This window comes from Homo sapiens, chromosome 1, assembly GCF_000001405.40.
Source record: "Homo sapiens chromosome 1, GRCh38.p14 Primary Assembly".
Classification (NCBI taxonomy): Eukaryota; Metazoa; Chordata; class Mammalia; order Primates; family Hominidae; genus Homo; species Homo sapiens.
In genome coordinates this window covers 102,969,891-102,997,221 of record NC_000001.11, presented here as the reverse complement: position 1 = coordinate 102,997,221, position 27,331 = coordinate 102,969,891, and the positions used below count along the sequence as shown (strand labels likewise).

Here is a 27,331-nt window from a genome sequence, read left to right as displayed (position 1 = left end):
AGATCTTAGTAGATTTAATAACAAAAGAAATACTTTCGTAGTATTATCAACTATGTTTATATTACATCTTATCAGTGTATGTTTTTGCTAAATATAGGGTCATCCTGGGAAAGAAGGCCAGTCTGGAGAAAAGGGGGCTCTGGTAGGTTCCAAAGTATCCATTTAAATGTCCTATTAATAAATTTCCAAGAGAAAATGCCTTAATTTGGTCATCTCATATATATAAATCACGTTCATATAGTTATTTTGGGTATAAAAAAGATATCTTAGACTACTTTTAATTTTATATCAGTAATTTTAGAAATTAGACTATGTTCTCTCTTTTTAAAAAATATTCCCATGGCTAGGAATACGTGCATATTTTTCATGTGTATTATATATGGAGTAAATGATAATAATATAAACAATGAAATTGGGCAAGAATTACTCAATATTACTGAACTGCTTATGTAACCCCAATTTTATTATTACTTATTACTTTCTGGTAACCATTATCTAATTAAATGTTAAATTAAGACCAATGGCTATTAAAATATCAAAGTGAAATGTAATATGTGCATATTCAATGTTAGTACTTTAGATTACAGTAGCAGGGGTAGGATCATTTTGTTTACAGTTGTTTTTAATTATTTTAAAACAGCATTAAAATTTCAGCATTACTGAGGAAATTATAAATTATGATTGATAGAACATTTTATCTAGATAGACTAGAGAAAAAACCAGCTTTTGGAAGATATATAATTTTGATTATATTCTTGATGAAGTGAATGCTACTAATTTATAATTTTCTATTTGAAATTATCAATCTTGTTAGTTTTTCAATAACTGTCTTTTATAGACATTAGTATAGCATATTTTAGGTTAAAAATCTAGTTATTAATTTTTGAATTGTTTACATTATTTTACATGCTTGTAAGATTTGCCTTATTAGTCCATTTCAATATTGTATTTTTAGTATGAATATATGACATAATAAATTTGGAGTGAGTAGTGCTAGTTACATGTTTTTCTCATCATATCTGTTTCTAGAAATAAAGAGTAAACTACCAAAAAGTCTTTATCAAATATTAGCAGTAGAAAAAAACCATATCCTTGTAGATTAGTTGGTAAAATTATAGTATGTAAATGAGTAGCACTTTCAATTTATTACACGTATAAGTGGTAATTCATCTATTTCAGGGTCCCCCTGGTCCACAAGGTCCTATTGGATACCCGGGCCCCCGGGGAGTAAAGGTAACGTTAAATTGTTTTCACATTATTTACTTTCAAAGTGAAATGTTATATTCACTTAATACTTCTAATTTATTCCACAGGGAGCAGATGGTGTCAGAGGTCTCAAGGGATCTAAAGGTGAAAAGGTAAAATTTAATTGTTTAGATGGTATTAATTTCTGTGTATTATGTTAACATTTAAATTTATTCAACAGACATTTTATTTCTTGAATATATGAGTGATTACTACATACTACGCAATGCTAGTATAATTTTGTATTCTTTATCCTCACAACTTAAAAACAATGTCTTATATCTTGTGATAAGGGTTAAATACCAGAACAGAAACTAAATTATGTTACCTAAGAGAATTAATTCTGCATCCTTTTTCTTTTTTTTTTTTTACATGTGCTTAAGTTTTGTTAATCATAGGGTTGGCCTTACGAATGGATTTGCTGCAGGATTTAGATGTTATCTAGTTAGATGCATAACATATGAATATTTATTCCTTTTTTCCCTACTGAAATCCCCAAAATGTTTAAACAAATTCAGCACAAAACAGGAAAGTTAGAAGTACACTAAATTAATTGGGGAAAGAGGAAGTCTTTCTATATAGTATTACACACAAATCAATAGTGTTAATGAGAGAGATAAAAATTACAACCAGACAGAAGTGAATGAAAAAATGTACCTAAAACTATGAATGCATATGGCATCTTTTATAGGGCATTTATAGGTAATTGGCTTTTGCTGAAGAACATGACATTCAGATTTTTTTCAAGGATACATTTAGCAGGCCTGCAAAGCCCCAAATCCTTCAAAGATTATGATGAAATGCAAAGGGAATGACATTACTCAGTGATAGAGTTTAGCTGTATGCCCACCCAAATCTCATCTTGAATTCTAATCCAAATTGTAATTCCCACCTGTCCAGGGAGGCACATGGTGGGAGGTGATGAGATCATGGGGGCGGTTTCCCTCATGATGTTCTCCTGATAGTGAGTGTGTTCTTAACAAGATCTGGTTGTTTGATAAGTGCCTGGTACTTCCCCTTTCTCTCTTTCTTTTTCTCCTCCACCTTGTAAAGAAGGTACTTGTTTCTCCTTTGCCTTCTACCATGATTGTAAGTTTCTTGAGGATTCCCCAGCCATGCAGAACTGTGAGTCAATTAAACCTCTTTCCCTTATAAATTACGCAGTCTCAGGTAGTATCTTTATAGCAATGTAAAAGCGGACTAATACACTCAGAATCAGTATTGAATTAATTCTTACTACAAAATTTCATACAAAGTTAAAACAACACATAGTTGCATAGCATAAATATTGGTAGGTTTGGTAAGATATACATGGATATTAACTATTGTTAATATCATACTCATAAGAACATACTCTATTAGACTGTCCTTGCACTGCTATAAGAAATACCTGAGACTGGGTAATTTATAAAAAAGAGGTTTAATTGGCTTATGGTTGTGCAGGCTGTACAGGAAGCATAGTGGCATCTGCTTCTTGGAAGGCCTCAGGGAGCTTCCAGTGGAAGGCAAAGAGGGCACAGGCATCCTATGTGCTGGGAGCAGGAGCAGGAGGGGGTGAAGAAGGTGCCACATGCTTTTAAACAATCAAATCTCCTGAGAAGGCACTCACTATCAGGAGGACAGCATCAAGGAGATGGTGCTAAACCATTCAATGGAAATCCACCCCCGTGATCCTATCACCCCCCACCAGGTCCCACTTTCAACATTGGGGATTACGTTTCAACATGAGATTTGGGTGGGTAAATATCCAAATTATATCACATGCTAATATTTTTTCAAGGACAGTCATTTATTTTCATGGTTACAATATTATCAAAAGGCTTATGTGTGGATTTGATACCAATAGGGAATGGATAACAAAAAGGGATGGATTTATTATATCCATTATACTTTATCTGGAAAAAGCTACTGTTATATACTAAAAGTAAACAACTATGTTGTCAGATTTATTACATGAAAAAGGCCATGCATTTCACATTAGCTCACCTACTTAACGGTAATCTCAGTTCATCCTGATCACCTAGATGAACTTCAGAGTACCAGTTGGCTCTCCCTATGGGTTCTGCATCCATGGATTCAATAAACCATAGATCAAAGATACTAGAAAAACAAAAAATTAAATTAAAAAATTATAATATGACTGGGCACAGTGGCACATGCCTATAATCCCAACACTTTGGGTGGCTAAGGCAGTAGAATTGTTTGAGCCCAGTAGTTCAAGACCAGCCTGGGCAAAGTAGTGAGACGTCATCTCTACAAAATACTTTTAAAATTAGCCAGGTACTGTGATGCGCACCTGTGGTCCCAGCTACTTGGGAGGCTAAGGAGGGAGAGTTGCTTGAGCTCAGGAGGTCAAGGCTGCAATAAGCCATGACTAAGCTACTGTACTCCAGCCAGGGTGACAGACTGAGACCCTGTCAAAAAAAGTTATAGTACAACAATATACAATAATACAAATGAAAAAATAACAACTATTTATATAGCATTTAGATTTTCTTAGGTATTATCAGTATTCTAGAGGTGATTTAAAGTATAAAGGAGAAGGATGTGGGTAGGCTATAAATAAATACTATAGCCTTTTATATCAAGAACTGGAGCATCCACAGATTTTGATATAGGAAGTTGGGTTGGGGTCCTGGAACCAATCACCCCTAGATACCAAGAGAAGACTGTATAGTGTCTCACTGAATTGACAAAGGAGCACAGTGGTGAGTCAGGTAGGGTTTAACATGTAATTTGTAGGTTGCCTATACGAAAAATAATGTCTCTGTTTAGAATTTTTCTTGTTAAGAAATGTAAGTAAAAATGCAAATGTTTTTCTCTGGAATTAGTATCCATCAAGGATTTTTAGAGGGGCTAGGCAGTGTTTAAAAGAAAATTGCCTGACTGGGGTGGGGATGTTGTTAACTGCTGAAACTTGCTAGGAGAGTTGTAAAGTGACAGAGGCAAATAAAATTATAAATGACTAGATATATATGAGGACAAAGCCATACAGGAAAAAAAAATAAGATACATTTTTTGTACATAGGAAAGCTTATTAACAATTGCTCATTGTTTTTAGGGTGTATGGTCTCAGAAGATGCAAGTATGTATAGAGGAAAATAAGTAAAATTTTAAATTGGGAACCAAAAGTTCTGGGTTATTATTCTAGTTTTTCTAGTTACTTTTTCTGAGCCTCATTTGAAGTCTGTAAAATAAAGAAAATTCCCTAAAAAAATTTAAAGGTATTTTTCAGCTATAGCTTTTATTCTATCTAATATACCAATCAAGTAGTAAATTATGTTTTATTATAGATTACAATTTAGTTTTCTAAATTATAGATTTAGAGAAACTTTGTATAAATATTTGTAGAATTTTTAATGGTAAGAATTCTCCATATTTTCAAACTCTGTGAAGGATTAAGCCCTGATGACTTTTTAATATGCCTTATTTATTTCATTTTTCTGAGTATGCAAGATAATTGATCATTTATCTCTTACGAGATAGAAGAAAATGGAAAATATTTTATATATAATGATGTTAATTGTTAACCAAAGGTGATATAGCAAGTTAGTACTCTAATTATGACTAAAATTCTCTCTTTTTTAGCCTTAGATTTGTCGCTTAAGTCTGGAGCAACACAGCTCAATAAATTAGGTGGCATAGATGAATTCCACTTTTATACATCTTCTAAAACTATGTTTTCTTCTTTTTTTCTTTATCTGATAATTTTAATACTAGAAATCTTAATAACTTGATACGTCACTTGCTAAAAAATGACATTTGTTATAAGGAAATACCTAATTAAATCATCTAATTGTTTTTTAAACGTGAATATGCTGAAAACTAAAACATGAGAAAAATAGCCTCCCTGTAGACTGAATTCTCACTTTAAAAATAATTTAAAAATAAAATTCTGTCTATAGTCAGAGTCTATAAGTGATTTTTAGACATAGAGTGCAGTGTTCTTTAAACTAAGCATGGCAGCTGTGTAATTATGTTTTTCTCTAGGGAGGAGGTAATGAAGACGTTGTCAATAGCAAGTTCAGTGGTCATTTACAGCTCTTAAGCCTCTGCCATTGCCCAATCACATTCAGTACAGAGAGCATCCTGGGCAGGATGGTGAAAATGGCATGACTTTCTCTTGAAAAAAAAAAAAAAAATTCCTGGCATGCTAGAGTTCTTTGAGTATGCAAGATAACAGTTTGAATCTCTTTCCAGGGTTAGGTCTCATATTCACAAGTACCCAGTATTTGGTATTTTCTGGACTTTAATATACCTTGCTAAACTCACACTGAGGCATTTAGTAAATGTTTATTGAACATTGTGGTTACTGAAGGTCCAAAACATGTTTGACACTGGAGACTCACAGGTTAATTAGGCAGGATTCTTGTGTTCGGCCATTTAGCAGAAGGAAAACAACCTATGATCTAGAAAATGCAGGACGGCATATTGTTGCAATAATAATTATTCAGTGAAGGCCACAAGATGGAGAGGTTAATTTTAGGAGGAGTTCAAGACAAAAGACTGAAGAAGTGAAGAAGGGCTAGATCACGTGGTGAAGGGAGGTGCCTTATATTGATTATTAGCAATTTGATACGATTAGGATATTTTAAAGTAAAAATTGATGTGACCAGTTTTGTATTTTAAAGAGATCATTTTGGCAGCGAGATGTGGAAGCATTTGTGCCTATCCTTCCTAGCTTTGTTTTCATACACAGCCCAAAATGTTCTTTTCTGAAATTATCAAATCAAATTCATTTCTACCAACTGAAATAAAAACCCCTCCATCAAACCCTCCCTATTAACCTCCTGCCTCACCACCTCCTCCACAAGCACCATACATCATCATCATTATCATTATTTTGGCATTCTTCTCCAGACACCCTTTCTACTTCATCTGTACCAAAATAACTGCAAATGTCCCACTTTCAGTTGTTTGTTTGTTTTGTTTTGTTTTGTTTTTGAGATGGAGTCTCCCTCTGTTGCCAAGCCTGGAGTGCAGCGGAGTGATCTTGGTTCGCTGCAACCTCTACCTCCTAGGTTCAAGCAATTCTCCTGCCTCAGCCTCCCGAGTAGCTGGGATAATAGGCACCCACAACCATGCCTGGCTAATTTTTCTATTTTTAGTAGAGACAGGGTTTCACCATGTTGGCCAGGCTGGTCTCGAACTCCTTACCTCAGATGATCCACCTGCCTCAGCCTCCCAAACTGCTGGGATTACAGGCATGAGCCACTGTGCCTGGCCCACTTTTAGATTTTACTGGTAAAACAAAAACCTCAAAATACTCCGCAGCACTTTGAATGAGTAATTGCTCAATTAATTTTATTGAACACATGAATGACTATTTCTTAGTAATTTAATTTTTTTTTCTTGAACTTAAGAGATAATAAGGTTGTTTATGCAACTTACTTAAAAATCTAGGTTTCAATAAGAATGATAGAAAATATTTCCGTAGCCCAAATCGTTCCTCTCTTCATTAAATGACTTCATTTTCAGCATTGTTGCTCTGTGTGTATAGTGCTACAATTAGCAATTCTACCTGTAAAGGATATTATTAATTCCTATTTTATATAATTAATTTTACCTGAAAGAAGATTGTAAGATACAGAACCCATTGAGCTAGAAGGCATTTATCTAATGGACATGATTTTAAAAAAAAATACAATATAAAATTTATAGGCATAAATTAGTAAATTAAGGGAAAATCATTTTATTCATTCTGTGTGCTACTCCAGAGCTCTTGTAATACAAAGTTAAAATGATAATTAAGTGTTTCCTTTTGTTGTTGTTGTTCTTGTTGTTGTTGTTGGGGGGAGAAGTTCTTGCTCTGTCACCAGGCTTGAGTACAGTAGCACAATCACGGCTCACTGCAGCCTTGACCTCCTGGGCTTAAGCAATCCTCCCACCTCAGCTTTTTTAGTGGCTGAGATTACAGTCATGCACCCACACACCTGGCTAATTTTTGTATTTTTTGTAGAGATGGGTTTTGCCATGTGGCCCAGGTTGGCCTCAAACTCCTGGGCTCGAATAATCTGCCCGCCTCCGCCTACCAAAGTGTGGGGATTACAGGTGTGAACCACCACACCTGGCTAAATATTTACTTTTTATTTGTTTAACCAGTATAGAATACATGTTGTTATGGGAGAATGGTTATTTCCCTCATAAAATAAGATTTAATGAACATATTTGTGAAAAATGTCCTAGGGTAATTTATAGCCAATAAATGTGAAAATATGAGATGATATTGGGGATCAGAATCTGTGGCTGGAGTTGGAAAAGGGAGGAGGAAGTTTCACAACTACCATGCACATTTCTCAAAAATAATTTTCCCTCGTTATCAGCACATAAATTTTTATAGCAATATTTTAGGTTACTCCAAAGGACTGATTAAACTCCTATTTAATTCCTTTTATAATGTTTTAGGGTGAAGATGGTTTTCCAGGATTCAAAGGTGACATGGGTCTAAAAGGTGACAGAGTAAGTATAGAGAAAATGTACACCAGTACACAAAATTTAATATATATATATATTTTTTCCTTTGCTTATCTTTAAATATAGTAAGCATATGATAAATAAAATGTTTGTACTACCTAAGTCTTTACTCATTTAAGTTTTTATACAAAGATTTAAGGATTTTAATTTTTGTGGAGATAGTGTAGTATCAATTGTCTTTTAGATGTTATATTTCCATAGGTTCCATAATAAACATGAGCATGCACGCGTGCACACACACACACACACATGCACACACACGTGTTAGTATTTATACACAGGACATTAGAAAGTTAGATCAAATTACTAGAAGTAATTTGATAAGTTTGCTCTAAATTTTGTTCATATATAATGAGCTATGCTGCCTGGAAAGTATACGTCTGTAACTTTCATGAATTTTCATTATATGGTGGTGTTCAATTTTTGAATGTAAAAATAGTAGTTTTTTCTAGTAATACATTATAGAAAACAAACAGAAATATTAGTTATCTAAAGCAAATTAAATGCTTTATTGGGAAGATTTATTTTTAAGTAATATACTAGTACCTAATACATCTGAATAAAGAAGCATTCTATAGAAAATATTTCTTTTCCTAAAATTCAAATGAAGTCTGCATGCAGGATTGGGGGCAATAACATCCATATACAAGTTCTTAAACGTTAAAGATAAAAGCCACGTACAAAAGAGAGACATTTTTCTTGTGTTCCAAACAGTAATTTCCAAAGCTGCTGAACAATCTTTATTATTATTTTTCCCTCTCTCTATAACACAGGTGCATTAAAAGCAATTTAATGTCATATATGATATGATTCAGCTTTTGTAGATTTTCAAATATCAGACTATATTCAGTTGTTTATTAAATATGAAAAGATTGATTAAGTCAAACACTTTCAAGCCTCTTTTTCATGAACAAAAACATGAGTAAACACACCAAAGTTGAAAACTCTGACTTTCAACAGACTGTAATTTATGCCTTTCAATCTCCAAATATATTTTTGTAACTGCCTGATGGGTTTATCTTGCCTGCTGCCCAGACAGGGCCTATTTATCCAGACAGGGGAATTGCAAACTCTTTCTCTATGCATACAGTTAGCTGAATAGGAGACTAGAGTTTTATTATTACTCAAATTAGCCTCCACAAAAATTTGGAGGATAGGGTTTTTTAAAGATAGTTTGGTGAGCAGGAGGCTAGGAAATGAGAACTGCTGCTTGGTTGAGGATGCAATCATAGGGGTATGGAAAATGGTCCTTGTGTGCTGATTCAGCTTCTGGCTGGGGAACATGAGGCCAGTTAAATCACGAATCATGGGTCTGAGTGGAGTCAGCTGGTTGTCAGAAATGCAAAAGTCTGAAAAGACATCTCAAAAGGCTAATCTTATGTTCTACGTAGTGATGTTATTTACAGGAGTAATTGGGGAAGTTATAAACATTGTAACTTTCGGAACAATGGCTGGTAATTTTTTACTATGACTACATTTTAGTGGAATTCACACCCCTCTCATAATTCTAACCTTGTGGCTTTGTATTAGTTTTTATAAAGGCAGATTTGTTTGGGGAAAGACTATCATCATTTAAACTATAAAGTACATTTCTCCCAATGTTAGCTTGCTCCATGCCCAGGAACGATCAAGGGCAGTTTGAAGGTAAAAGGCAAGATGGAGTTTATTATATCAGATCTCTTTCACTGTCATAATTTTTTCCCTGTTACAATTTTTGTAAAGGACGTTTCACTCATAAGAATGTTGTTATTCTGTGCCTCAGGGAGAAGTTGGTCAAATTGGCCCAAGAGGGGAAGATGGCCCTGAAGGACCCAAAGGTCGAGCAGGCCCAACTGGAGACCCAGGTCCTTCAGGTCAAGCAGGAGAAAAGGTTGGTAAATGACTTTAAATTCACTGGTACTCTTGCAGCTGATGTTTCATTATCATTTAAATTTCTTTCAATAACTGGTGTCAGAAATTGAGTTCTTACTACATTAAAGATAAAATGTTTCATTATCATTTTAAATTTGCAACCATTACATTTACGTTTCAGTGTAATATTAGGCAACATTAAAATTTGCCTCCAGAAAGTATTTAGTGACACCTTAAATTTTCTATAATGTACTGTGAAGTTAAATTTAAAAAAAAAAAAGCAAGAAATGTCTATGACAAGTGTTATCACATTATATACACTAAAGCAAAATATAATATCTTATGGATAGAATTAAAATGATTCCTTTTCTTTCATATACATACATATATATATATATCCTACATGTATATGTCTATATTAAATAGGGAATTCTGTTAAATTCCTATTAAATACTCCTAAGAGGTATAATTATGAGATGAACACTTCTTTTGTCACTTCTCCTTATTTTCTAGTCTTCTATGCCCTCCTCGGCCATGTGGAATCAGCTACTCTTAGAGTTCTTCCACATTAGATGTTGAGAATTAAAGGATGTGTGATTAAAGGATGAAAGAATCAATGAAAGAGGTTCTACTTAAGGTTTTACACCAAGTAGAATCATCTTTTATTTTTTCCACTTAAACATGCATTTCACATAATAAGTCTATTAAAAAATACTGGTATTCAGGCCCAACTTCAAGAGATTTTAATTTTAATCTGGGCTTGACACAATATCAATATGTTTTAAAACATCCCCAGATAATTATCATATTCATTGTTTGAGAGACACGGGGCATTATGTGTTGCGTCAAAAAGATTTGCAACCATTACATTTATATTTCAATATAATATTAGGCAACATTGAAATTTGACTTCATGTTATAATGTAATAACATTTGTCTATGATGACAAGCAAGAACTGTCTATGACAAGTGTTATTACATTATATACACTAAAGCAAAATATCAGTAATCTCTTGCTGGTATAATTCAAATGTTTCCTTTTCTATATGTATATGTCTATATTTTCTACAACAAACATTCCATAATTTCTTTATTTTATTTTTTACTATACTTTAATGCACAACGTGCAGGTTAGTTACATATGTATACATGTGCCATGTTGGTGTGCTGCACCCATTAACTCTTCATTTACATTAGGTATATCTCCTAATGCTATCCCTCCCCCCTCCCCCCACCCCACAACAGGCCCTGGTGTGTGACGTTCCCCTTCCTGTGTCCATGTGTTCTCATTGTTCAATTCCCACCTGTGAGTGAGAACATGCGGTGCTTGGTTTTTTGTCCTTGCGATAGTTTGCTGAGAAGGATGGTTTCCAGCTTCATCCATGTCCCTACAAAGGACATGAACTCATCATTTTTATGGCTGCATAGTATTCCATGGTGTATATGTGCCACATTTTCTTAATCCAGTCTATCATTGTTGAACATTTGGGTTGGTTCCAAGTCTTTGCTATTGTGAATAGTGCCGCAATAATGCTATTTAAGAAAATTACAAATAGAAGCCCCCACCGTTCTATCTCAGAAAGAAAATATATGATATAGGTATTAGATAGAGAGTGTGAATAGTCAAAAAGAAAATTCCTCATGTCCTTATGAATCATCTAATGTGACAGTTCTTATCGGGTTTCATACTTTGCAACTTCTACAGTTTCACACTTTGAAAAAACATTGCTAATTGTAAATTAATGAGCAATGTTATAGTGATTTGGCAGCAAAAGAAAAAGATCAGGGGAAAACAAGGCCTTATGGGGCGTTTAAACCCTTTCCCTTAAAATGCTCAAGGCCAGTGGTTAAAAGGGTATCCTGGGACCTTCCTGTCTTCTTAGGCTCTATCATGTGTAAACAGTCACACAAGCTATTGTGATAAATCAGGAGCTTAAACTACCCCACAGTTCTTTTCTTCTTTAACATTTCATTAGTATATGTTAGTTTATTGAAGTTGCCTATCATCCTGTTGAAAATACAAACTTTCTGCCAGAATTTATTTTAAAATGACTCTAAAATGAATTAGAGTATATACATACATTCTAATGTGGTAATTACCAAAGAAAACAAATAGCTTGTGATCAGAATTAGATAATTTTACTTATCCTGAAATTGATGGTGTAAAACAAGCTGTGATAACTTAATATATCCAAGGGAACATCATTATAAGTATGCTTCTTAGGGTTTGTTTGATATTTTCCATCTGAAGACTACTTATCTATGTAATGCTGATCATGACTTGGACAACTCTTTAGTTCAATCTGTACTAACAAGGTCATAAACCATGTTCTTAATTTTTTGCCTTATTTCATCCAGTAAAATACTTATTTTTATTTATAAGCTTCTGTTCATCTTTTATCAATGCACATACAAATTTGAACTTGTGTTTGTTTTCCATTTTTAGTTGTTCAATGTACATTGAAAATAATGATACATTATGCTTTCTAATGTTTAAGACATTAGTAAATAATATTTTATAAATGAAGTGTGCTTTTGTAAGTATCTTATTAGGTAAATGGATGCACAGTAAAATTCCACATACATATTTTATTCAATTCTTTTTTTATCTTTTTACCTGTGTTTTTTTTTAATTAATGTTTTGTTCAGATAGAAATCATAGGGAAGTAAATTGTTTAGGATAATATTTGAAACCATCTGGTATTTGTTACACATTGTTGGACTTCATTATAACTTAAATTTTGTTTTAGCACTTTCAGATTGAAAGGTAACCTTATTGCACTGGAACAAAATAGTATATTCAGTTCCCTGCTTGGAGGAATAAACACTCCACAAAAACCATCATTATTAGCTAAAGCTCTCAACACATATTATATTTATTAGTCCAGATATTTCAGCATGTTAGAGTGAAAGAAGAAATTTGTCTTAAAATTTAATTCTGAATTTCTTTGCATATCTAGGTTTACTTACTCATTGAGAAAAGTTAAGTAACTCATGATCCCTTGTTTTATATTTAGACTGGGGTAAATGAAATAACTGTATCAAAAAGATTTACTCTGGTTGAAGGGATAAAATCTAAATATTGTGCCAGTTACATCACTAATTTAAAATAGTATTTAATGTTGAAAAAGCTTAGAAGTATTTTTAACCATGCTTTAGAATTCACAAAGAAGTGCAGAGTTCTCTTTAAAACCTCAGGGTTCATGTACCTAAAGAAGGCACTACCACTTATATAATAAAGGTTAAGTTAGGCAACATTATAACATTAGAAATATGTTCAAAGCAACAATTTTCTTATTCACGTGAAGAAATATAATGAAGGTAAATAATGACAAAAATCTGCAAATCTTCCTTTTGAGTGTACAATATGTGATTCTAATATTTAAAAAAAATTGAAATCATTATTTAAGCTTAATTCAACTTAAAATATTACTTTGATTATTATATATTTTAACTGTAGGGAAAACTTGGAGTTCCAGGATTACCAGGATATCCAGGAAGACAAGGTCCAAAGGTAAAACAGCTTGATATTTATAGTTTATTAACATTTCGTGAAGATAATATTAATCACTTATGATTACCTTACAATTTGTAACATCTCTATATTATCATGAGTACTTAAAAATAATTTCACAAGGAAAATCATAGAGTGTGTGGACGCCTGGAGTGCAGGGAGCTCAAAGAGCTTAGGTGATTATGGATTGCAGTATTTTAGGAGAAGGAATCATGAAACGAAGGCATAATCGGTAATTCTTTGTAATTGGAACAAGAAATATCCTAGTATATCTGGAAGTTTTAACATGGAAGACATTTGATGCATAACGGCTTTTGATTTCCTTTCTATTATCCTAAGGGTTTAAATTACCACTTGAGTTTTTAAAATTAATACACCTTTCACACTATTACCCTCATTTCCATGAGTATTTTTTTTCCAGGGTTGCTATGACAAATCTCCACAAACGTATTAACTTAAAACAACAGAAATTCACTGCCTTACAGTTCTGGAGGACAGAAGTATGAAATCATGGTGTCATAGGGCCATGCTCCCTCCAGAGTTTCTAGTAAAGAATCTGTCCTTGCCTCTCCCAGCTTCTGGTGGCCCCAGGCATTCCTTGGCTTGTGACTTCATGACTCCAATCTCTGTTCCCTTCTTAACTGGCCTTTTTTCTGTGTGTCTTATTCTCTTCTGTCTCTTGTAAGAACACTCGCCATTGGATTTAGGGACCACCTAGGCAATCCAGGTGGATCCCATTTCCTTAATTTAATAGCATTTGGCAAGACTTTTTTTTCTTTTCCAAGTAAGGTAACATTCACAGATTCCATAGATTTGTATATGGATATAAATTTTCAGGAGCCACCATTCAATTCGCTGCATCACTCAAATCTCATTTTTGGCTATTTGAAATATACATGTTTTAAGCATAAAAAATATGGTTTTCAAAATGCATATTTACCTCGGTGTACTAATTTTTCTCAAACCTATCATAAAACTTTGTTAAGGATGCACTTGATGCATTCAGTAGTTAAGTGAATGCACTTGATGCATTCAGTAGTTAAGCCTGTTAAGTGAATTAATATATAAATGTTGATTATTAATTACAGAATGGTTATGATACAGGAGGGAGACAGAGAAGTGCGGGATAGTTTCAGTTTTATCATTCTTTTAGTTATATGTACATGAGATTATATCAATCTATCAGTTTATTGAGTTTGACCCATTCAGGCATAACAGAAACAATAGGTATGGCAAATCCTGTTTCTGTAACATTCTTAAACGTGTGTCTATTCATAAGTTTCACATGTAATTATGGGAGACAAAAATATCCTTCTCCCTGAATATGTAAACTGCATGTCATTGTGTTCCCTCATTGCCACGTGATAACACTGTCTTAGGCTTGCTATACAGCTTTGTCTTACAATTTTTTCATTGAGTTTCCCCAAAAATACTTCCTTGAGTAGCAGGGGATAAATATAATGCTTTTGAACCCTTCTAAAATAAGATTTACGGCATCTGTGATTTAAAAATAATACAGGCATAATTTAAATATTTTCTGGCTGTACTCAGGACACTGATTAATACTTTTTATCATTTAAATATTATCTCTAATATACTGCTCTGTCTCCCAGTTAGCTTCCTTTCAAATGTCAAGCATTTTCACAAATATTATCAGTAAAAGAAGCCATTCACTGCATAATCCAGGACCTCAAGCTATCCTTACATCACTTCATGCATTCTTGATCTATTTATTAAGTTAAATTGCAATTGTTTTGTTTTGATTTAAAAATATAGGAATCTGTCACAATATTACATGAATGAGTAGAATTTTATTTTATGAATTTATTTAAAATCCCGTTTTTTCCCTAAGTTCTCTGATCAATAATCTTTGAATTGTTTTTATTAACAAAATGCAACAGAATAACAACAGAAATGTTTCCTCCTAGAGGTATCCAACATTTTTTAATCCTTTTACTGAAATGTCTGGAATTTTATTCTTTATTTCTTCATATTGCTTCTCTTCATAACTCATTTATTATTTCTATGATCAAAAAGCTTTAAAGTTTCTCTGTTCTAAAATGAAAAACTGGGACATCAAAAATGAAAAACTGGGACATCCAAAATGAAAGATAGCTTCGTATTTTTTCCTATGTGTAAGCTGATGAATTTTGAATAAATTTAAATTTTTTTTTTACTAAAATGAAATGCCTTTACCAGTCTCTTTCAAGCAGATTAAGGCCTGTAATTTGACATCTTATTAATTGCTTAGTAGCAATATAAACCATAAAGGTATTAAAAAGATGTAGCACCACATGTGCTATAAAATGATAGCTGTTTCTAAAATAAAATCTATTTTAAGGTAGGATACCTTTATATTTCAGACAGCATTTTAAAAATTTCACATTTTTAGTTTCACATTTATTGACTGAGCCAATTTCACAATTAATCTTTGACTTTATGGCCTTTGTGTGTTTCCATATAAAAACGGGTAATACTGTTTCATAGAAATTATATATTTTGGTGATAATTCCTTATATGGGAAGCAAAAAATAACATTTCCATATATTCAACTGATTAATTGGGTAGGTTGGTCATTTTTCTGTGTTTTCTATCAATTTCCTAGAGTAGAAACTCTACGTAAGTATATACATTTATGAAAAACAAAATTGGTGCATAATATCTCTTTGCTTAAATGAAGTATCTATAAATATGCTGTTACCTCTTCTAGTCAGGACAGAACTGAATATTTGTCCCCCCCCTCAAAATTTTTATTTTCATACTGTATTATAATCATTTGTCCAATTCCTGTAATAGTCACATAGTAATACTGTGCTAGACGTAGCTAACTGATTCTGTGTAGAGAAAGAAAAGAGATTTTGAAAGCTCTTCAAAATGTAATGTGCAGAGATTTTTTTCCCCAGTACGTGAATATTACACATCCTAATAATTGTTCTCAGGTTGATCACAAGTTAGCTGTATAGGCATGTATTGAAACATACAGGAAAACATGTTATAAAAAACAGCTTAGCAGTGCATCCTTCAGGTTATTATTTTGACTATCAGCTGCCATAGGGCATCACATACAATTTTATTGACCTGCTTTAATAGCATCATGTAGGAAATACAAATTGCTAGCATCTTACCTTCCTGATAAGTGTGTAATATTCACTGCTTTCAAATTGGGAATAGGGCCAAATAGTTACCTCCTGTGAGTAGGTAATACTCTACACCTGGCTATTCCAACTGTACATGCCTGAGAATACAGCTTCAAGACTTCTAAGATTTCACAGTACATGTGACCCCGAGAGGTTGGTAAAAATTCAGATTCCTGGACCTCACTGCCAGAGAGTCTGTTTCAGTTTCAGTAGATGTGGAGTGTGCCTTAGCAATCCATATTTTTAGCAACTACTCTAGATTATTCTGATACAGAGGAGCCATGTATCACTTGGAGAAACATTATTTTTAGGGGTATTTCAATGCAAGTGAGTGGATTAAAAAAAGAAAGGTGTATTCAAGTCAAACAAGGCTTTGTTATATTTCCCTTAATATATGGGGAAGTTTGTAAAATTTGATGTCTAGTATTCTCACAGAGGCTAGACATTTTACGTATTATTGCACTTAATCCATACAGTGATCTAAACAGGAAAACTCTCCACTTCTTCCTTTTCAGGGTCTCATAATTAACAAGTTGAGCAGCAAGGATGTGAACACTAATCTTCTCTATTTTATGATACAGTGATGAGGGAAGCTAATCACAATCATGATCAACTAAATGAGAAGATAAAAATTTAGATATATGTGCAAGATCATATGGGAAATTTGGTTATTGGGGATTATATTGTATTCCATCTGTAAAATGTGGCCATTTGTAAATGAAATAGTGTTTTTATAAACATTTCATTTTAAAATAATTATTAATTATACATTATTATTATTTTTATACCAAGCATTCTTTTTTTCAGTCCCACAAATTTCAAATTACCTGTAAGGTGTGTATTACTGCCCTCACTTTGCAGAAGAAAAATCTATACTTGATGCGCATAAGTAATGTACCAAACTTACTTAGCTGATACATTTAGCTGATGCATAACTAACATAAATCTCAAAATTATGTCTTCAGAATTCTAAAAAACAGAGTTTTAATGCTTGGGTGCCTGAAATAGACTTTCAGCTAGATATAGTTGTATTCAAATACCAAATCGAAAAAGTGGAGGAAGGTTTTTAGTCTATGAATTGATCCAGTTTTAAAAGTGTAAAAATACTCAACTCAAAAGTGGTAACTATAGACATATGATAATATTAATTCAGGAAAAACATTTTCTAAAATTCCTATTTTAATATTTGACTATTCCTGTTTGTGAAAATAGGATTTTTCTTTAGAGTTGAAGCAAATACAAAGAATTTTACATTGCAATACATTTTCTATAAAATGTCCTATAATTACTGTTTTATAACAAGAGATGAAATAATACTTGATTAATTCATTTACTCAGAAGGTTAAAAACTAAAATGTTTTATCAATTTGTGCTTTCAATGCTTCCAGGATTTCAGATGTCATTGTAAGTTCATTTTCAATTACTTCGATGATATCTTAAAATTTCTATATTTGATTTAAATATTAACAGCTGTGTGAAAATCACTCTGTTCCAAAATAAATTACATCTTGTGACTGAAAATGTTAATTGCCATGTTTATTCATTATTTACTTTTATTATTGTAGGGTTCCACTGGATTCCCTGGGTTTCCAGGTGCCAATGGAGAGAAAGGTGCACGGGTATGATATATAAATATGTTTTGAACTATGTATATAAGTGTTCTTAGCTGGACATAGTGGTGTGTGCCTGTATTCCCAGATATTTGTGAGGCTCAGGTGGAGGATTGCTTGAATCCCGGAGTTCCAGGCCAGCCTGGGCAGCATAGCAAGTCTGTCTCTAAATGAATACGAATGAATGAATGAATGAATGATGTTCTTGCATGACTACTCAGTCTCAGCACCAGGCTCATAATTTACTGTGATATACTGCATATTGAAATTGAACTGTCTTTGCTAGGGAGTAGCTGGCAAACCAGGCCCTCGGGGTCAGCGTGGTCCAACGGTAGGTGCCTTGATTTAAAATGATGTACATTTTTCATATTGAATTTAGTGTATCAAGATAATTTATTTTTCAAAAATAAAAATTGATTTAGTGTCTTTGGATTTGTCTGGCATTAGTTTGGGTTCATCTTTTGTTCTCATCTGCAGGGTCCTCGAGGTTCAAGAGGTGCAAGAGGTCCCACTGGGAAACCTGGGCCAAAGGTATCACCTGTACTTTTTCTGTTTGGATGTTACTGTAGATTTTTTTTCCAGGCAGATGCTATGAGAAAGAATTCAAACTGATTTTTCTTTTCTTTTCTTGGTGCCAGGGCACTTCAGGTGGCGATGGCCCTCCTGGCCCTCCAGGTGAAAGAGTACGTATGATACAGCCACATAATATAAAATGAAAATTAGTATTTCTGCAAGTATTTAGATTTCAGAGAAAAGATATATGTCTGCTAATACATGTGCATGTCTATCCACAAAATCTAGTCTGAATTTAAAAACGCTTATTTTTTAATTTATTCCTCTTCACCAATAAAAAAGCTTAATCAATATGTTCTACTAATTTTGTTATAGAAATGAGAAAAATGTGTGTAACTGGACTAAGATATCACTCTTATAGTCAAGACAAAAATAGATATTTTTTAAATTTTAAATACACTTGAAACATCTTTGCCCTCTTCTCCAATCAGCTTGCTTTCCATATTGATACTCATTTTGTTCACAGAGCTGGCAGCAAAATTATGCTGGTAAAAAACAAGCTACTAGTAGCCATTAAGCCAGAATCAATATACATTCAACTCAAGATAAAACATCTATTCCAGTAAATAGAATAGCTATTTAGTAAATTGATTTTTAATTGATGTAAGATGTAGCCAAATACATATGAACAAGCATGCCCTTTGTTTGGATTTTTTGGCAAAATATAACATTTTTGTAGCCAGATTTTTAAAAAAGCTATCCTCCTGATATAAGTTTAAGTATTATAATCTGTATTCCTTTAAAAAATTAGAATCATTTCTTCATATTCTATAATAATTTTCAGTATTATGGAGTCAGGTTAATATATTTTTGTATATTATGATTTGAAATGTATAATAGGCATTTTACACAAGACAGAAATACCTTGCAATGCATAACCTAAAATTGAAAATGAATAATTTTTATTTGAGTAGGAGCAATGAGCAAAACTTGAGTTTTTATTTGTGACGAAAATGGGAGTAGATAACACACAAGAATAAACATTTAATTAGAGTTGTGTTAAGTCTTTGGCTCATATTTAATTAATTTTCCGCTAAATGTTTCTCACTCTCGATGAACTGTTCCCAAATTAAGTCTATCCTGTAATTTTTGAGCTCATAAATAATACATTCATTTGAAGTATTTTATGGTCAGTCATTTTAATAAGGGACATTTAAATTAATTAAAAAGGCTAAATAATTAAATGGAGTAGAACAATTTAACAAAAATTAGCACAACTGTGAGTTTTGTTTTTAGAGCACCACTGATTCTCTCATGCATTTGGTTTTGTCTTCCAAAATGTTATGATCAATAATATTTCCTTACAAGTGAATATGCTTTTGCTGATACTGCATTTTAATTTGAAAAACAGCAATACTGTCATCCAACAGTATGATTACTTTTAAAAACACTTTGAGAGTGAGACAAGTACCTCTTGGGAATTTTTGTTTTGTTTTGTTGTTTTAGTAATCTAGGTGGATTCATTTTCAATAACTATTCATATATGTTTTCAATGTCTATACAGGAAGAACATATTTCCTATGTTCCTTGTGGTTGATGAGACATTTCATCCCAAGTATGCCTTCATTTTCTGCCAAGAATTTTTAATTATCTTAAACTATTTAGTTCACGTCTTGAGCACACAGTTGAAAAATGGCAAAAGTAATGCCATAAAATATTTTCCTCAAAATATATGAGTTGGGGAAAGTTCAGGGAATTAGTTCTGTAGTACCATTGGATTAGAAAATGAAATAACTATTTTTGCCCATTTCAAAGGACTCTCTCATGATCATTATATTTATATTTAACTATACAGTTATACATGGCATGCATATATATATGTATACATAAACTTTTATTAAAGTATTCTACAAATTAAATGTAATCCCTCATAATCATAATTTGCAGATCATGGATGCTGGTTATTAAAGGTTAAATATATCTTTTAGTTAGGTCTAAGGTTACCAAATTAAGTGAAAACAAAACAAAAATGGAACAACAGAACCAAGACACCTGGATAAATTTGAATTTTATATAAAGAATAAGTCATTTTTGTCACAACTATGTCTCATGATATTTAGGACATATTAAAATTATTCATTATTTATTTAAAGCTCAAATTTAGGCACTGGATATTTTATCTAGTCATCTGGTTTCAACACCATCTGTACACTGAGTCATTATGGATTTCTTAAAATCCCACCTGGAAACTATTTTGATTATTAGGAAAAGAATACGCCAGCCAGGCGCGATGGCTCACACCTGTAATCCCAGCACTTTGGGAGGCAGAGGTGGGCAGATTACCTGAGGTCAGGAGTTCGAGACCAGCCTGGCCAACATGGTGAAACCCTGCCTCTACTAAAAGCACAAAAATTAGCTGGGCATGGTGGTGGGTGCCTGTAATCCCAGCTACTCAGGAGGCTGAAGCAGGAGAATTGCTTGAACCCAGGAGGCGGAGGTTGCAGTGAGCCAAGATCGTGCCACCGCACTCCAGCCTGGGCAACAGAGCAAGACTCTGTCTCAAAAAAAAAAAAAAAAAAAAAAAAAAAGCCAACGTTTTCTGTGAAATTTTATAAAGACTCAATTTTTCATTTTTATTTTAAAGTAATGATTTTTGGAATGTTTCTTTCTTAAAAGATTTTAAATTCAAATTGCATTTGAAAGGCAGCAAAATTTTAGGAAGCAAAAACATGACATTTTAATAAATCAGGAAAATAGTTTGCTACATAACCAAAAGAATACTATTTTTAAAAATTTGTACTTAAAATGGATTTTTATTTAGGAATCATAGTGTCATAGTTTAATAAGAGTTTAAAATTTTGTAAGTTCCTAAGATTTGCCCAGTAGTTTTGGTAGTTTCATGTGAAATCTATTTTTGTTAACTTTATATATAACTTTGAAGTTACTTTTTAAATATAAGATGCTGGTAATAATAAAAACTTGTGATGATTTCTGAACTAACATTGGCTTATGAATGGTAATGAGATTTTTCTTGGGAAGGCTAGATTGATAAATAGAAAGAGTAAATTCTATTGAAGGCCAACTTCAGTAAACTCTATTTTTGATTAGAAAAATACATAAATCCTACCCTAAATGTATTACTTAAGACATTTTACTTATGTTATCTTTCATAAATCTTCTTAAATAAATGTAACTATTACGTTCTGGGCATATAGAGGATTATCTCTTACCAATTACTTTTTCTGCCAACAATGGAGTCACTGTAATGGGACTTTATGCACTTTTTAAAAATAGGTAAATTTGAGAGATGAATAATATAGTTAATTAAAAATCAAGCCAAGAATGATATTATAATTTTTATTTGGACTGAACGTTAATAACTACACAATAAAGTTATTTTTACCTTATCTACAAAAGAAATTTATACATGAGTAAAAAATATATTGACATCATCCAAAATAAATATATTTTAGATATGGAGAATAAAGGCATCTTCTGTGGTCTTTTTGAGATAGTCACATACTTTCTCTTTTAGTTTTGGAATATACGGCTAGATACAGAACAGGGATAGAAGATAGAATAAGTTTTAAAACAGTTTTTTTTTTTTTTTTTAAGCGGGGCTGTGGAATTGAATTGAATCAAAATATCTTCCTTGTATGAATGTTTCTAGCCAATGTTAAAAGTAAAGACACTGCAGAACTTCTCAATACTTACATGTTCTATTCACTTTTAATTGATATGAATTCTAAATATTTACAGTGTTCCTGAGGTAACATTGATGTGATGTGTAGTTTTGAGTAGAAATAGTGTGAAAATGTATCCATTTTACTTTTAGATTAGCACTTACTATCGTGTTGTATTACCATAGTTCTGTCACTGTGATGAAGAAGCTGTATGATACATTGTATTTTGTCTATGTAAATAAACCTCAAAGTATAAAGATGCATCTTCTAAGGCATATTGTTAACTTCTCCCCACTGCTTTTTATTTCCAGGGTCCTCAAGGACCTCAGGGTCCAGTTGGATTCCCTGGACCAAAAGGCCCTCCTGTAAGTGTCAGAGCTTCTCTTTCTCTTTCTTCATTTGATATTTTTACATTTTTGAGAGTCACAGCTTACATTTATATATTTGTTAGATATAATATTGATAAAATCTCTGTAAAATTACAATTGATGTCAAAGAAAGTAGACATTTTTAATTTATAAGGTTCATAGATCGTTTCTGAATATAATTTCAACATCTCTTATTAAGTATTTTTTGACAGTATACCGAAGACTAGAAAAACATGAATATCATTCTCTCAGCTGCTCCTTTACTGCAATGAATATAATTGATGACATTACAAATTGTTATCAACTCTTAAATATTTGGTATATTCGAATTTATCTTTATCTTCCATCATCAAAATAACCTTCTTCAAATATCACTTCCTAAATCCCTCCAACATTGTGATATTACTTAAGTCATGCTAAAATCTATTTATATTAATATTATATCTGTCTCTATAATCCCTTCTTTTTAGAAAATGTAATGAGAATTCTCATTAAATCTTAACCCTTTTATGAAATGTGTTTAGAGCAACACTTGAATGTTCATCAAGCATCTTCATAAAGTTAATTGAAATACTTTGTTTTCATATTTAAATATTTGTGGGGACATAGAACATACTGGGGTCTTTTTTGTTTTTGTTTGTTTGTTTTGCAACCTCCTCAGTTTCTTTAAGAGAGTGGGAGTCAGCTTACCCACCTGTCTAGGACAGTGGTTCTCAAATGTAGTCCCTGGCCCAGCAGCATCCACAGCTCTTGGGATATTGTTAGAAATGTTCCACTGACCAAATCACAATTCTGGAGAGGGGCAGGGGCCAAGTCTATATTTTAAAACACCCTCTAGACAGTTCTGATGCATGTTAAAGTGTGTGAACCTCTGTGCTAGTCCAGATGAACAATACTACCCATACTTTAATGTGCACACAAGTCATATTGGTGAATTATTTATTTTGAAATAATTAAACATCAAATATTAAGACAATCCTTAACTTTTTACAATAATTTTTAGACCCTGCTTAAATTATTATTTACCACTGAAGAGTTTTGCATTATTACTGCAAAGATATTAGGAAAGTATTGTTATCTGTATTACAAGGTTATAGAAAGATCGATACATATGGCTAGTGTTAAATATAAAGTAACCTTGGTACTACCTGCATATAATGCTTACCTACTATGTCAGTTTTGCTCCAAATGTAACATGAAGACTCTGCAAAGTTTCACAGAGAAATGAAAACAGTTTCAAAAGTCACTGTATGTATATTTTTATAAACATTCTTATAATTATTTTAAGCTGTATATTAGATTATTGTTTAGGAACATAAAGTTTAGTGACGTATATAACCTCAGTATTGTACCATTTATGTTTGTATGTATTGTTGAGAACTGCTTGGCTCATGTAATATTGTTTCATTGTCAAAGAAACCCATTTGACTCATTTTTTTATCAGACTTTTTCAGCCCATTGTGTTATGTGTCTTTCAACATGTTTTGAGCCATTGATCGTGCATGCATTTTGTCTGTAAGAGGTATCAGAAGCATAATAAATGCCTACACTTGAGAAGCATGCATTCTAGTAGGAGAGACAAGAAGGAGTATTTCTTTCACTGATAAACAAAGTGATTTTTATACTATGTTTCTCTAACAAGTGAAACATTAGAGCATGAAATAAAAATACCCCATTTCTCTAGTATGCAGTTTTATGCAGTTTGGGACAGAATTGGCTTCATCTGTTTGATATAGAAAGAAGAAGTTGGGGTAGAGAGATAGAAAAAACCTCTTCCTGTAAATTAATTGGTTCATCTCCTTCATCATAGCAGGAAAAAATTTTATATATATATGATGTATATTCACACAGACATATATATATATGGATCTAAATATTCCCTTCAGATTCTGTTAATATCATGCCCATATCGGCATATTTTGGGAATATGCAGCCATCCATTTAAAAAACACATTAACTTGAAATGATTAAGAATTATAGCATGACTAGTATGAGAAACATTCTATTTAGAATAGAAAAAGTCAAAACTCAGTGCCAATGAGAAGTGAGAAAACATCCTTAAACAATTACCTACAAGTTTTCACAGATTTTCTCGCCAAATCTGCATACCCTCATTTAGATGAATTTGTTCTCTCTGTCCTGTACCAGCTAGATCAAAGGGGAAGCCTGGGAAGCCTATTTTGATGAAAAAATTATTACTTTTACATAGATACCGTGAAATTATTTGGTAATTAGTCTGCTTATTTCATTGGTTAATAGTTTGTGGCCTTTATATTTATTTAGGGCTAATTGCTTGATATTAGAAGTACATACTTAAATCAAGAAAAATGATAATGACACCAATTCTTAATGCAGTATATTAACACTACTCCCTCAGTCTATCTAGGAAAGCCATTAAATATTATGTTGCATTCTTCCCAGGATGTGATCGCTTAGACCTAAGATCGCTATTTTAAAGTATTATAATATTTTGCAATGAATGTGTTATCTATGTCAGCAAATATGAGATATTTAATCTTATATTTACAGCTTTGTTAAAAAAAAGTAAGTCTTGTATTAGTGGCAAAGTACATCATTTAAGAAGCACTTTAGTATGGTGGAAAAAAAAGCCAGACATAATTGATATCCTTCAGCTGTCATCCTCTCTATAAAACTTTTATTATTGCCCAGAATTGAAAGCAAGTTTATTGCCAAATATATCAAACCAGTGATAAGGCACAGAAATTGTTTTATTTGCTATTTTGTAAAACTGGACCTCAATGAAGTCTACTACCAATCAACTAAATACTTATTTCTGTATGTCACCTCCAAACTGAGGGCAAAACTAAGTCTTAGCATTAGTATACACCTAGTAAATGATACGTGGGTATGTAATATATGTTTTTTAAAGAAGCCATGGTTAAATGACATCCAAGAATGTTTTGGGTCCTTGGTTAAAAACACTCCAGTTTTGTTTTTTGAAGAAGAGGATGGCAGTAGTAGCCCTGGAAAACCTGAAGAAGTCACTGAGCAAGCCATGATGTTGTGAAGTAGCATAACGGATTTTAATTAGAGTTGTTAATTTACAGGGCACCCAGGATGTCAATACACATGACTTAAGGGAGCAAAGATGGTTCTGGCACCACCAAGAACCTTTCTCCTGAAGTAACTAGCCAACCTGGAAAAAGTCTCCCTCAGTTGGAAGAAAGCTATTTGAGAAAATAACATTTTGGAACAAAGCCTGTTTTTCATACTCACTCTATAAGAACATATATTAAAAATAGATGTTCAAAAACAATTTTATTTAAATAATTAACATACAATGAGAGGTGTACCTGTTATAATTTAAAATATTATTATTAAAAGAATCATTTCTCTTCATTCATCTAGAAGGGTGATAGTATTTTTATCTCTACCCGTTGACCATGTTTTGAAATTTGAACTTGATACGTAATGGTTACTGAGTAGAATGAATAATCCATAAGGCAGTCTAAAGAAGCAGTTTCTTTCTACTAAGTATTTAAAATATAGGACCCTCACAGAGTTGTTCACTTTGTTTGTAGTTAATTGCTTCATTTATTTCTTAAGCCATGACAAAGACAGCATCCTTTATACAAAGTGATAGCAGCAGATTTGCTCTGTGGTACTTCACAAACATTATGCTTCCAAGAGGACATTTAAGAAAATCTACTGGGAAAAATTTGTCCTGATGACTTCTAGAATTGAGTATAACGTATTGTTTCCTTTACTTGAAAAAATTTGAGAGATAAAATGCCATTTTTTATGAGTTTGTATTTATTTTGCATTCTTGGTTTTTTTTTGTTTGTTTTGTTTTGTTTTTTGTTTTTTGAGACGGTCTCGCTCGGAGTGCAGTGGCGCCATCTCAGCTCACTGCAACCTCCGCCTCCCAGGTTCAAGGGATTCCCCTGCCTCAGCCTCCCGAGTAGCTGCGACTACAGGCGTGTGCCACCACGCCCGGCTACTTTTTTGTTTTTTAGTAGAGACGGGGTTTCAGCATGTTGGTCAGAATGGTCTTGATCCTCTGACCTCTTGATCCTCCCGCCTCGACCTCCCAAAGTGCTGGGATTACAGGTGTCAGCCACCCTGCCCGGCCTTCTTTTGCCTTCTTGTCAGTTAGAAGCTCGGATTACCACTAGAGGGCACTATTTCTCTCTGTTATCCAAGTTTTGATGCACCGGGAATTGAATTAGGAACAAATCACCAAAAAGGGGGAAATACTCATTTGTGAAGTGCTAAAGAAGTAATATTTTTCACAAAAACGAAAATACAAACCTTTGCAAATATTATTTTACAAATGATTGATGCAAATGAAATATATTTAAATGTAAAATATTCAGAAAAGAGTTCAACTATTTTATTTTGGTTTCAGCTATAGCTACAGAATTATATTGAAGAGATATATGTGCATATTATCATATATAAAATCAACAGAAGAGCAAAGTAAAATAGCTAATGGAAATATAAAAAGAAAAGAAAATTTTCTAACATGTCACATTTAGACTATAAAATAATTAAATATTTATGACATGTGGTATTTAATATTTGTAATTTCAGGGACCACCTGGGAAGGATGGGCTGCCAGGACACCCTGGGCAACGTGGGGAGACTGTAAGTGACCTTGTTACTCTTATTAAAAATTTCCATCTCTAGCACCTCATCAGTTCATACATAGAAAGCTACTTTATTATGAACATTTCAATTACTAGGTTGAGAAAAATGGAAAAATTAATTCCATTAAGCCTTTTATTGAAATATACATATATATATAAATACAAAAATAGATACAAGAAATATACTTCAGGAAATAGGATGTTAGTTGATATGATTGTTTTTATTGTCAATAGCAGCATTTTAAGGATGAGCTGATGGAGAAGACACCATTATTTTTTGGACATCTCCTCAAGATTTTCCCTCTCACTCTTTTCACTGAAGACTG

The 27,331-nt window shown here is 32.7% G+C and overlaps 1 protein-coding gene across 10 annotated transcripts in view; it reads left to right on the top strand.

Annotated features, from left to right (window-relative positions):
• COL11A1 (collagen type XI alpha 1 chain) overlaps positions 1-27,331 on the top strand; it is a 232,050-nt gene that overhangs the window by 111,301 nt on the left and 93,418 nt on the right. For 9 of the 10 annotated variants that reach the window (XR_007085257.1, NM_001190709.2, NM_080629.3 and 6 more), the window contains 12 exons: positions 98-142; positions 1,180-1,233; positions 1,314-1,358; positions 7,651-7,704; positions 9,482-9,589; positions 13,031-13,084; positions 17,787-17,840; positions 18,118-18,162; positions 18,309-18,362; positions 18,470-18,514; positions 22,339-22,392; positions 26,950-27,003. Coding sequence is in view for 8 of the 10 variants with exons in the window: in NM_001190709.2 (NP_001177638.1) it covers positions 98-142; positions 1,180-1,233; positions 1,314-1,358; positions 7,651-7,704; positions 9,482-9,589; positions 13,031-13,084; positions 17,787-17,840; positions 18,118-18,162; positions 18,309-18,362; positions 18,470-18,514; positions 22,339-22,392; positions 26,950-27,003 (666 nt within the window). In the remaining 2 variants the exon portion in view is untranslated. Of the gene's footprint in view, positions 1-97; positions 143-1,179; positions 1,234-1,313; positions 1,359-7,650; positions 7,705-9,481; positions 9,590-13,030; positions 13,085-17,609; positions 17,626-17,786; positions 17,841-18,117; positions 18,163-18,308; positions 18,363-18,469; positions 18,515-22,338; positions 22,393-26,949; positions 27,004-27,331 lie in introns of all 10 variants that reach the window. The other variant, NR_134980.2, reaches the window with a different exon arrangement.